General features: G+C 42.0%; 1 protein-coding gene, 1 long non-coding RNA gene and 1 other non-coding gene across 28 annotated transcripts in view, besides 1 other annotated feature; 2 read left to right on the forward strand and 1 right to left on the reverse strand.

Annotated features, from left to right (window-relative positions):
• Positions 1-3,616, forward strand: part of CDC16 (cell division cycle 16) — a 37,827-nt gene extending 34,211 nt beyond the window's left edge. For 9 of the 18 annotated variants that reach the window (NM_001078645.3, XM_005266206.3, XM_011534851.3 and 6 more), the window contains one exon: positions 3,077-3,616. In NM_001078645.3, the coding sequence (NP_001072113.1) occupies positions 3,077-3,336 (260 nt within the window). In that variant the 3' untranslated portion in view covers positions 3,337-3,616. Of the gene's footprint in view, positions 1-455; positions 514-3,076 lie in introns of all 18 variants that reach the window. The other 9 variants (XR_245358.3, NM_003903.5, XM_017020830.3 and 6 more) reach the window with 4 other exon arrangements.
• The window catches only part of LOC105370384 (uncharacterized), a 30,962-nt gene that overhangs the window by 18,492 nt on the left and 339 nt on the right, over positions 1-12,131 (reverse strand). For 4 of the 9 annotated variants that reach the window (XR_007063887.1, XR_001750059.2, XR_001750057.2 and 1 more), the window contains exons 1-2: positions 10,996-11,962; positions 2,692-2,815 (exon numbers count right to left, since the gene is read on the reverse strand). This is a non-coding gene — a long non-coding RNA (uncharacterized LOC105370384). Of the gene's footprint in view, positions 1-2,691; positions 2,816-9,304; positions 9,727-10,995; positions 11,963-12,131 lie in introns of those variants that run through there. The other 5 variants (XR_007063885.1, XR_007063886.1, XR_007063888.1 and 2 more) reach the window with 5 other exon arrangements.
• Positions 4,721-4,801, forward strand: MIR4502 (microRNA 4502). The gene has a single exon (NR_039724.1). It is a non-coding gene; the product is annotated as a microRNA 4502 (primary transcript).
• Positions 11,722-12,021: an enhancer, noted in NCBI's record as "active region_8062". NCBI's record gives its function as "activates an Ori minimal core promoter by ATAC-STARR-seq in GM12878 lymphoblastoid cells {active_cell/tissue: GM12878}" and the evidence as "EXISTENCE:reporter gene assay evidence [ECO:0000049][PMID:35858748]".

Genomic DNA, 12,131 nt, shown 5'->3' on the forward strand with positions numbered 1-12,131 from the left:
TAGGTTTACTCATGCAGCTGTGGTCAGCAGATACTTGACTGGGTAGATGGTCTAAAATGGTACCATTCTCCAGTAGGGAGCTCAGCTTGGGTGCTGAGTCTCTCTCTGTGGGGCTTTCATCTTAGGTTTCTTTGTAGCACGATGTTCCCAGGGTTCTAAAGGACAAGAACCACAGTTCAGGACCTCTTGAAAATTCAGAGTTGCACAACATCACTTCCGTCACGTTCTGTTCCATCAGTACAAGTCTCATAAGCTCAGAGTCAATGTGGGAGGGGGCTGTACCAGGGTGAGGGTGCTGGGAGGTGTGATTCATTGGGGTGGGTATTAGGGTGATGATTGACCATACTGATTTTGTGATGTAGCAGTTCTACTCCCAGGTATGAGCCCAGTGGAAGCAAGTGCTTCTGTCCACTAAAGGTCACAAACAAGAGTATTCATAGCTTTATTCATTACAGCACCTAACTGGAAATGACTCAAACGTCCACCAGTAGGAGAGAGGAGAAATAAATTGTGGTATGTTCATACAATAGAATACTATATTATTTGAAAGACTACTGAATCATTTAGAAACATGCATCAGTTTCACAGATTTTTTTATTTTTTATTATTTTTTCTGAGATGGAGTTTCACTCAGTCACCCAGGCTGGAGTGCAGGGGCGCCATCTCGGCTTACTGCAACCTCTGCCTCCTGGGTTCAAGCAATTCTCCTGCCTCAGCCTCCTGAGTAGCTGGGATTACAGGCGCATGCCACCACACCTAGCTAATTTTTTGTATTTTTAGTAGAGATGGGGTTTCACCATGTTGGCCAGGCTGGTCTCGAACTCCTGACCTCGGGTGATCCGCCCGCCTCAGTCTCCGAAAGTGCTGGGATTATAGGCGTGAGCCACCACGCCCAACAAATTTCACAGATTTTTGACAAAAATGTGAATATGTACTAATTACTTCCATTTATAGGAAGATTAGTGTATTAGTTCATTCTCGCATTGCTGTAAAGAAATACCTGAGCCTGGGTAATTTATAAGAAAAGAAATGTAATTGGCTCACAGTTCTGCAGGCTATATAGGAAGTATGATGCTGGCATCTGCTTGGCTTCCGGGGAGGCCTCAGGAAACTTGAAATCATGGCAGAAGGCTAAGTGGGGAGCCAGCACTTGACATATCCGGAACAGGAGGGATTGAGAAAGGGAGGAGGTGCTACATACTTTAAACAACCAGAACTCACTATCACGAGAACAGCACCAAGAGGATGGTACTAAACCATTCAGGAGAAACCACCCCCATGATCCAGTCACCTCCTACCAGGCCCCACCTCCAACATTGAGGATTACGGTTCACCCTGAGATTTGGTGGGACACAGATCCAAACCATGTCAATTAGTAATGAACAAAACTAATTGGTAGCGATAGAAAAGTCCAAGAAGTGCTTATCTCAGGCTTGGGAAAGCTGACAGTATTGACCAGGAGTGGGCACAGGGTCTTAAGGAGCTGCATGTGTTCTGTGCCATTCTGGCGGTAGTCATCTGGGATGCATGTACATAGGGTTCATTCAGCCATGTGCTTAAGGGGATTCACACTTGACTCTTGGTTTTAGCTCAATTTTAAAAAACAAATTTAAGCTCTGGTTTCTGAGAGATGCTAGGTTGAAGCCTCAGCTCTGCCCCTCGGCAGCCCTGTGGCAAGAAAGGCAAGTCTGAGCCTTAGTTTCCTCATTTGTTCAAGGGTGGGAAGTTCATAGGAAGCTAAATAAAGGCTAGAGAGTTGATAATGAGTCAGAGGGATGTCTCCTTGACCTCGCAGAAGAGATTTACCTTTTTTTTTTTTTTTTTTTTTTTTTGAGACACAGTCTCTCTCTGTCACCCAGGCTGGAGTGCAGTGGTGCAATCCTGGCTCACTGCAAGCTCTGCCTCCCAGGTTCACGCCATTCTCCTGCCTCAGCCTCCCAAGTAGCTGGGACTACAGGCGCCCGCCACTATGCCCGGCTAATTTTTTGTATTTTTAGTAGAGACGGGGTTTCACCACATTAGCCAGGATGGTCTCGATCTCCTGACCTCGTGATCCACCCGCCTCGGCCTCCCAAAGTGCTGGGATTACAGGCGTGAGCCATCGCGCCCGGCCAAGATTTACCATTCATGTCATTTTTATTTTTAGAAAGTTTGCATGTCATTATCTGCCAAACTACCTATTTCTGAAAGCTATTGGTTTGAACTGTGTAAAACTCATTTTGTTTATGTCGAATGATTGTACCTAATACATCTGTTCAGATCTGTTCAAATCTATATTACCCTTAAGGTTTTAATATATGGGAAATGGATTTTATTTCATCGTGGCTTTTTTATGCATAAGATTGGTGACTATACCCAATGGGCACAGCACAGTTCTTTTTTTTTGAGATGGAATCTCACTCTGTTGCCCAGGCTGGAGTGCAGTGGCACTATCTCGGCTCACTGCAAGCTCCATCTCCTGGGTTCATGCCATTCTCCTGCCTCAGCCTCCTGAGTAGCTGGGACTACAGGCACCCGCCACCATGCCCGGCTAATTTTTTTGTATTTTTTTTTTTAGTAGAGACTGGGTTTCACCGTGTTAGCCAGGATGGTCTCGATCTCCTGACCTTGTGATCTGCCCGCCTCGGCCTCCCAAAGTGCTGGGATTATAGGTGTGAGCCACCGCGCCTGGCCACACAGTGCAGTTCTTACCTGTAACAGCTGAGGAGAAAGTTGTCCACAGGCCTCATACGTATTTAGGAGGCCTTGGAAATGGGCAACTGTTGAAACACTGGAGCTGCAACTGCATGTGCTTCTGAAAGTCTTCTGACACTTCCTTTGCAAATGGTGGAAAACAAATGAAAAAGAAGATTGGAATGTTGTTTTCCTTCTGCTCTCAACTTGTGCTCTTAAAAGTATAATTTGACTTAAATGATAGAGATGGTGTATAATGATGGAAATGATAAATGATGGAGTTTTGTATTTTATTCTAAATAGTATAATCTGACTTAAATGATAAGAGATGGTGTTATATAACAATAGAAATGATAAGTGATGGAATTTCTTATTTTATTCTAATTATAGTATTTCTTTTTAGGAGCAGACATTAAAGACAAATTAAAATGTTATGACTTTGATGTGCATACAATGAAGACACTAAAAAACATTATTTCACCTCCGTGGGATTTCAGGGAATTTGAAGTAGAAAAACAGACTGCAGAAGAAACGGGGCTTACGCCATTGGAAACCTCAAGGAAAACTCCAGATTCCAGACCTTCCTTGGAAGAAACCTTTGAAATTGAAATGAATGAAAGTGACATGATGTTAGAGACATCTATGTCAGACCACAGCACGTGACTCCAGTCAGTGGTCCTGGTCCCACTGTCCCAGTGTAGGTTAGTATTCCTTCACATCCTCTCCATGGCTTAAGAATGTCCCACTTCCTAACGTGACTCCAAACTGCATCTCTACATTTAGGAACAGAGACCCGCCTTAAGAGACTGGATCGCACACCTTTGCAACAGATGTGTTCTGATTCTCTGAACCTACAAAATAGTTATACATAGTGGAATAAAGAAGGTAAACCATCTGTTATGTCTTTTTTTTTCTTTTCCAATAAACTTTTATTTTGGACTAATTTTTGATTTACAGAAAAATGGCAGAGATAGTACAGAGAGCTTATGTGTGCCCCTCACCTAGTTTCCCCCATTGGTAACCTCTTCTCTTCCCATGGTACATTTGTCATGACTAAGAAACCAACATTGTTAGTGTCCATTCACTAAAATCCAGCCTTGATTTGGATTTCACCAGTTTTTCCGTAATGTCTGCTTTCTGTCCCAGAGTCCCATCCAGGCACATACTGCATTTAGTCATCCCATCTCCTTTGCGTTCTCTTGCCTGTGACAGTTTCTCAGACTTCCCTTGTTTCTCATGACCTTGACAGTTTTGAGGAGTACTGGCCAGGTAGTCTGTAGAATGTCCCTCAATTGGAGTTTGATGTGTTTCTCAAGCACCTTTCTCATCACATCCTACTGGGTGGTTGTAACCACCACACGACCTATCCCAGGCAGTGCTGACCTTGGCCACCTGGTCACAGTGGTGTCTGCCAGATTTCTCCACTGTCAAGTTCCTGTTTTTCCCTTTCCATACTCTGTGGGTTGAGGAGGTTTCAGCTCCAACCCCTGGAGAGAGCAGTATCTGTGCATGTTATTCTTCTTGAAGATTTGTTTCTTCTCTCCTGTTTATTCGATCATTTATCAGTATGGACTCATGTTTACCTACAGGCATGCCTTGGGGACACTGCAGTTTTGGTTCCAAACTGGCAAGATAAAGCAAATATCACAATAAAACTAGTTTCACAAATTGGTTTCCCAGTACATATAAAAGTTATGTTTATACTGTAGTCTATTAAGTATGTAATAGCATTATATCCAAAAAAACAGTGTATATACCTTAATTTAAAAATACTTTCAGGAGTTCGAGACCAGCCTGGCCAACATGGCAAAACCCTGTTTCTATTAAAAATACAAAAATTAGCCGGGCGTGGTGGTGGGTGCCTGTAATCCCAGCTACTTGGGAGGCTGAGGCAGGAGAATCGCTTGAACCCAGGAGGCAGAGGTTGCGGTGAGCTGAGAGCACACCCACTGCTGCACTCCAGCCTGGGCAACAGAGCGAGCCTCCATCTCAAAAAAAAAAAAGAGAACACTTTATTGTTAAAAAAAAAAATGCTTATGATCCTCTAAGCCTTTAGCAAGTTGTAATCTTTTTGCTGATGGAGGGTCTTGCCTCCATGGGGATGGCTGATGATGATGGTGCTGAAGGCTGGGGTGACCGGTAACTTCTTAAAATAAGAGTGAAGTTTGCTGCATTGATTGACTCTTTCATGAAAGATTTCTCTGTAGCATATGATGCTGTTTGACAGCATATTACAGTAGAATGTCTTTCAAAATTGGGGTTAATCCTCTCAAACCCTGATGCTGCTTTATCAAGTAAATTTATGGAATCTTCTAAATCCTTTGTTGTTTCAACAGTGTTCAGAGTATCTTCACCAGGAGTAGATTCCATTTTAAGAAACTATTTTCTGTGCTCATCCATAGAGAGCAACTCCTCATCTATTAAAGTTTTATCGTGAGATTGCAGCAATTCAGTCACATCTTTAGGCTCCATTTTTAATTTTTATTTTTTATTTATATATTTTTTGACACAGGGTCTTATGTGTTGCCCCGGCTAGTCTCGAACTCCTGGACTCAAGCAGCCCTCCCACTTCAGCCTCCCAAGTAGGTGGGATTACAGGCACACGCCACCATGCCCAGCTCCACTTCTAATTTTAGTTATCTTGCTATTATCACCACATGCTGCAAGCAGCTTCTTCCAAACTCCCATTTTGACCACGTCTCATGAATCACAAATGTTCTTAATGGCATTTAGAATGGTGAATCCTTTCCAGAAAGTTTTCTATGTTCTTTGCCCAGATCCATCTGAGGAATCACTCTCTATGGCAGCTATAGCCTTACAAAATGTATTTCCTAAAAAATAAGACTTGAAATTCAAAATGACTCCTTGATCCATGAGCTGCAGGATGGATGTTGTGTTAGCAGCATGCAAACAGCATTCATCTTGTACATCACCCACGGAGCTCATGGATGACCAGGTGCATTGTCAGTATTGTCAATGAGCAGTAATACTTTGAAAGGAATCTTTTTCTGAACAGTAGGTCTCACGGGTAGGCTTAAAATAGTAAACCATACTGTAAACAGATGTGCTGTCACCCAAACTTTTTCTGTTTTTAAAGCACAGGCAGAGTAGACTTAGCTCTCAGATTTTCTTCAAAATGTGAATGAGCATTGGCTTTAGTTTAAAGCCTCCAGCTGCATTAGCCCCTAACAAGTCAGCCTATCGTTTGAAACAAGACATTGACTCCTCTTCAGCTATGAAAGTGCTAGATGGCATCATATTCCAATATAAGGCTGTTTTGTCTGCATTGATCGTTTTCTGTTTAATGTAGCCATCTTCATTAATTATCTTTGCTAGAGCATCTAGATGGCTTCTCCATCAGCACTTGCTGTTCCATCTTGCACTTTTTATGTTGTGGAGATGGCTTCTTCCCTTATACCTCATGAACCAATCTCTGCTAGTTTCTACCTTTTCTTTTGCAGCTCCCTCGCCTCTCTCAGCCTTCATAGAATTGAGGAGAGTTAGGGTCTTGCTCTGGATTAGGCTTTGGCTTACAGGAACGTTGTATCTCATTTGATCTCGTATCCAGATCACTCAAACCTTCTCCCTATCCGCCGCAATAAGGCTGTTTCACTTTTTTGTGTGTGTTTAATGGAGAAGCTCTTTTAATTTCCTTCAATAACTTTTCCTTTGCATTCACAACTTGGCCAACTGTTTGGTGCAAGAGGCCTGGCATTTGGCCCATTTTGGCTTTTGATGTGCTTCCTCATTTCCCGGCCATTATTTCTTTAGGGTTTTTTGTTTGTTTTTTTGTTTTGTTTTGTTTTCCCTTTTTCTCTCTTGTTGGGATTCCTATATGCGTGCATTGGTATTTCTGATGGTGTCCCATGGGTCCCGTAGGTTCTGTTCTTTTCTTACTTGTGCTCCTCAGACTGGATAAGTTCAACTGCCTTCTCTTCACCTTTGCTAATTCTGCCTGCTCAAGTCTGCTGCTGAATCCTTCCAGTGAATGCTTTAATTTCAGCTATTGTGTTTTTCAGTTCCCGAGTTTCTATTTGGTTCCTTGTTATCATTTCTATCTCTGTTGACAGTTTCTGTTTGTTCATACATCGCTCTCCTAGTTCTTTTAGTCCGTTTTCCGTGGTTTCCGCTAGCCCTCTGAGCATATTAATACAGTTGATGAACATCTTTGACTAGTAATTCTAATATCTGGGGTCCCTCAGTGACAGTTTCTGTCATATTCTTTTCTTCCCATAAGTCAGCCATATTTTCCATTTTATTTGTGTGCTTTGTAATTTTGTGTTGAGGACTGTACAGTTTGAATATGACACTGCAGTAGCTCTGGAAATCAGATTATCCCTCTCCTCAGGGATTGCTTCTGTTACTTGTTGAGGGCTGCAGTTCATTTGTGTAGTGAATTTTCCAAGTTATTTTTGCGAAGTCTGTATTCCTGAGGTTCTTGGTCTTTTTATTGTCTCTGGTCAGCCTGTAACCTGACAGAAATTTCCTTAAATGTCTGGATCTTTTCTTCTTTTTTTTGAGATGAGGTCACACTCTGTCACCTAGGCTACAGTGCAGTGGCATGATCATAGCTCACTACGGCCTCTAACGCCTTGGCTAAAGGGATCTTCTCGCCTCAGCCTCCGAGTAGCTAGGACTATAGGAATGCACCACCATGCCCGGCTAATTTATTTATTTTATTTTTGTAGACACGCAGTCTCGCTGTGTTACCCAGGGTGGTCTTAAACTCGGGCTCTAATGATCCTCTCGCCTCAGCCTACCAAAGTGCTGGGATTTCAGGCGTGCATAACTGCGCCTGGCCCGATATCTAGATCTTTTTTTTTAAAAGAAGTGTATGTCTCTAAATTTTCTGATAGATGGTATTGGGGAAATTGCTGCAGCCTGAGGGGGTCGAGACAAAGGCACGCATCGACGCTGGTCCCTCAGGGCACCATCATGTGACCAAAATGCACAGGGTCCTCGCTGAGGACAGGCTGCAGCAGGTAGGTTGGCTGTCCATCCACACCACCCTCTTAACCAAAAAGCTGCAGCCTCTGCATCATCAAGCCTTCCCCGGGTTGCAGTAAGCATCTGATGAGGTGACAGAGTTAGAAAACAGTTGATTCTGCTAATTTGTTGTCCAGCTTAATGGTGGTTTTGGTGGAAGAACCAATTAATCCCTGAAGCTTCCTGCCCTGCCGTTTTCTGTGACGTCACTGCTGTCTTAAAACTATAACTAAATATTAGTCATATTAAAAAAAAACTATAGGCTGGGCGCAGTGGCTCACGCCTGTAATCCTAGCACTATGGGAGGCTGAGGCGGGCGGATCACGAGGTCAGGAGATTGAGACCCTCCTGGCTAACACGGTGAAACCCCGTCTCTACTAAAAATACAAAAAATTAGCCGGGTGTAGTGGTGGGTGCCTGTAGTCCCAGCTACTCAGGAGGCTGAGACAGGAGAATGGTGTGAACCTGGGAGGCGGAGCCTGCAGTGAGCTGAGATTGCGCCACTGCACTCCAGCCTGGGTGACAGAGCGAGACTCCATCTCAAAAAAAAAAAAAAACAAAAAACACAACTATAGCTAAATAATAGTCATATAAAATAAATTGCAGTACTTATCAAATTTCAGTTTAACTTTTGAAAGTCATAGTATTTAAGGTAACAAACTCAGCTATTAACACATTTTATGATGCTTTAAAAAGCTCAAAGAATTGAACAGCTATTGGTGCTAAGTTATAATTGTGTTCTATAAAATAAATGTGATTCACTATTCTTTGTAATTGCTACCTCCTGGTATGTATAAGATAAAGAAATTGAATTTTACCTATTTTCTCACATACTAATTTGGTGACGTATCCTTTTAACTGTTGGCAAATGTTATAGGCTCTCTTGGCCTGTTTTTTATTCCATTATTTTAACATCTTTTGCAGTTTTCTCACATAAGATTGAAAACTGAATCTATGTGAAATAAGCAGGTGTCTATCAGTAATGATATTTAAAATATGTCACAGCTGGATTCCCTGTTTTGTAGGAGCATCTGAAATCAGCCATAGCGGAACAGATGGAAATGCCCCATTTGTTGGGGTCAAGAAGGAAAAGTTCTTACATAGTTTTACACATTTGGCTGGTGATTGATTTTGTGAAAAGATATGTTAAAATTTGTTTGTTTTTTGAGACGGAGGCTCACTGTGTTGCCCTGGCTGGAGTGCAGTGGCGTGATATCGGCTCACTGCAACCTCTGCCTCTCGGACTCAAGCAATCCTCCTGTCTCAGCCTACTGAGTAGCTGGGATTACAGGCTCCTGCCACCACACCCAGCTAATTTTTGTATTTTTAGTAGAGACGGGGTTTCACCATGTTGGCCAGGCTGATCTCAAACTCCTGACGTCAAATGATGCACCTGCTTCAGCTTCTGAAAGTGCTGGGATTACAGGCTTGAGCCACAGCGCCCGGTCTGAAAAGATACGTTTAAAAATTTTATTTTAAAAAGGTGCTACAAGACAATTCTACTAAATCTCTAATCTTTAAACTTTTTTTTAACCTCTTCACTGAGATTAGGAAAAGAATCTTGATATGACTCCTAGGTGATAACTGTATAAACAGACAACACCCCCACTCTTCATCATTCTAATAAAGAGAGAGGATTATATGCTTCATTTGTTTAAAGTCCTTTATTCAAACTCTCCTACTACTAACATCAGAGGACATGTTACTCTACTTTTTCATAAAAACAAACTTGTGTAGTTATTAGAAAGCATCTATTCACGGCATCATTAACAAATTAGGCATTATACAGAAGTGAATTTTCCAGGCAACTGAGGTGCTGCCTTAAACACAAAACTTTTTATCTTAACCTATCTGAAGTGTATTCCCTGTATTTCTACCTTCTGAAGCAGAACAATGATAGCATTCATTTCTTGAGGATCCCCAGGTGTTAACTCTAGTAAATCTTTTAAGGAGGGCTTTGTTCCCCTTCATACTGATGAGGGTCTAGCACTGTTGTATGGTGCATTGAAGACTAGCATTCAGACCCCATCCTGTCTCCATTCATCATGGTGAAAGTCAGGTATCGCGCTGGAAGTTAATGCAGTAATACATTTAGAGACCATGAGTTACCCCACGCTAAATTAGACTCAAACTAATGCGTTTTCATGTTTTCATTTTTAAATGGCTTTTCTGTCTCTCTGTCAGGCATCATGTATGCCTCCCCTGTCTTGAGTTGGGGCTAAAAAATCAAGTGACTGAACTTAAGGTAATTATTTTTAAAACAACTAAAATGAAAGTATTATATTAATAAAGTGCTGAGTTTTTTACATTTATTTTTCCTGCCAGAGCAAAAAAAAAAAAAAAACCATTTAGTTTTCTCATTGATCACTGTTAGAATTTTTCTGGTTTCTGTAAGTGAATGTCAAAAGGTTCAGACACTTGAGTAAGCTGTAATTCGGATCAGCAGCAGTGTTAACACCAGTGTTTAGGCCTCTGAGAGTAAAAACAATGTGTCGTACTGCCAAGTATTGTTCCTGTTACTACCCAATTCTTCAGTATCTCAGGACACAGTTTATCCTAAAAAGGTGTCCTGTTTGCTAACTACAGTGGCTGTGTTATCGTTAAAGGAAATACTGGGAAGTGTTACGGTCACCAGCTTCAAGTCACTGTCATCTACCAATGAGATAGGGGCTACCAAGTAAAATGTAGCCCAGGGCCACATTCACAGATGGAAGTGTTCAGTTAAGCAAAAGTAAAGTTACATACTAAAAGCCCACATGAAGAAGGATTTGGAGATATTTCTTCCTGCTTTGCTTTGGCTGTAAAGTTCTGTACATGTATCAAACAGAGCATTTCAACAGGCTGGCTAATGTGTAGGAAGCTAGCTTTTCTTTGTGATATAATTTGTCATGTAAAATCATAAGCTATTTTACAAGTGTATTTCATTCACTGTATCTTAAAATTCATATGGTTTTATTTAAAGATAATTTCATCAAACAGCTGAATTCTAAAATCCTACCTTTTTTTCAAAATCATTTTTCAGAACTTTGCAATAACAGGAAGTAAAGAATCAGAAGGGTGTTAAAAAATTGACTTGGGGGGAAAAACATTTGGACATTTTGCTGGCTAGGTTTACGAAATATACACATCCAGCAAACATGTGAGTCCCTTTAGGGTACAGTGCAGTGAAGGGAGAAGTGGAAATACTCAAGGTTCTGGGGAAGGTCAAATGAAGGGTCCCTCACATTGGCTGAGGCCAACCTGGCTTCAGAGGTGTGCAGAGGCACCAGGCCGAGAACAGGGCTTTGCAGTGGTGAGGGCAAAACATGAACACAAGAAATACCCTAAGTTACTGACCTGGTTGTGCCTGGTGACAGATGGGACCAGCTCTTTTCTCCATTTGGTAATTTTGGAAAATTTGGCAGAGTTAATAAAGAAATCCCCTTGGTGCAAGATTGCTACAATAAGAATCTATTATAGATGGCAGATGTGAAGTTCACAGTCCTTTTTATTATCCTAACCTAGTAACATGACTAGAGGTAAAATTAAATATTGAGTTAGATGATTGTTTAATATTTTAAAACCAGAGGGAAGACATACAAATAGATTGAGAGCAGTTTCTTTCTAAAGATAATCAGAATATATCTCCTATATTTTAAACACTGCAGGAACAGTCAAAATTTTAAAATAAATGGTTTCCACATTTTTTTATCCCCATCTCTCCCCCTGACTATATAGTAAAATATTTTATTTGGCAACCACGTTTTCCTACTTTTAATCACACATCATCAGAGCTTTTCATCAGCCTAACTAGTCTTCCTACTCACTGAGTTGTGACGAAAGCCTGGTCTAGGCACTTTTACCACGGCCATGTTTTTGTTAAGATCCCTGCAGACTGTGAACTATGAAAACCAGCCCCTGGCCCCGCTTGTGGGTGCTGCAGAGCCGCGTGTGAACTGCTCCTAGGAAACCGCGTCTCTGGGCAGGGTGGCTCTCGGGCCGTGGATCCGCCTAAAAGCTTTTCTGCCAGTGACGCCCTTGGTCTCTGGATGTGTTCACGCCTCAGTGATTTTACTCTCTGGTTTCTTGTGTGTGCTTGAGATTCTTGAGAGAAAGCGTGCTGCAGATGAAAAATGCAGCCTACATGAAAAAGAGAAGGGGAAAGCCATTTTAAAATAACTTCCATGTAAGTTACTGTAATCAAAGTGCTGCTGCCTGTGTGTTCATAAAAAAATATGTGCAAGGGCCCGGAGCGGTGGCTCATGCCTGTAATCCCAGCACTTTGGGAGGCCGAGGTGGGCGGATCACTTGAGGTCAGGAGTTACCGAGACCATCCTGGCCAACAAGGTGAAACCCCGTCTCTACTTTAAAAAAACAAAAAAATTAGCCAGGGGTGGTGGCGCGTGCCTGTAGGTCCCAGCCACTCAGGAGGCTGAGGCAGAGGCTGCAGTGAGCCGAGATCGCGCCACTGCACTCCGGTCTGGGCGACAGAG

Source organism: Homo sapiens, chromosome 13 (genome assembly GCF_000001405.40).
Source record: "Homo sapiens chromosome 13, GRCh38.p14 Primary Assembly".
NCBI lineage: Eukaryota > Metazoa > Chordata > Mammalia > Primates > Hominidae > Homo > Homo sapiens.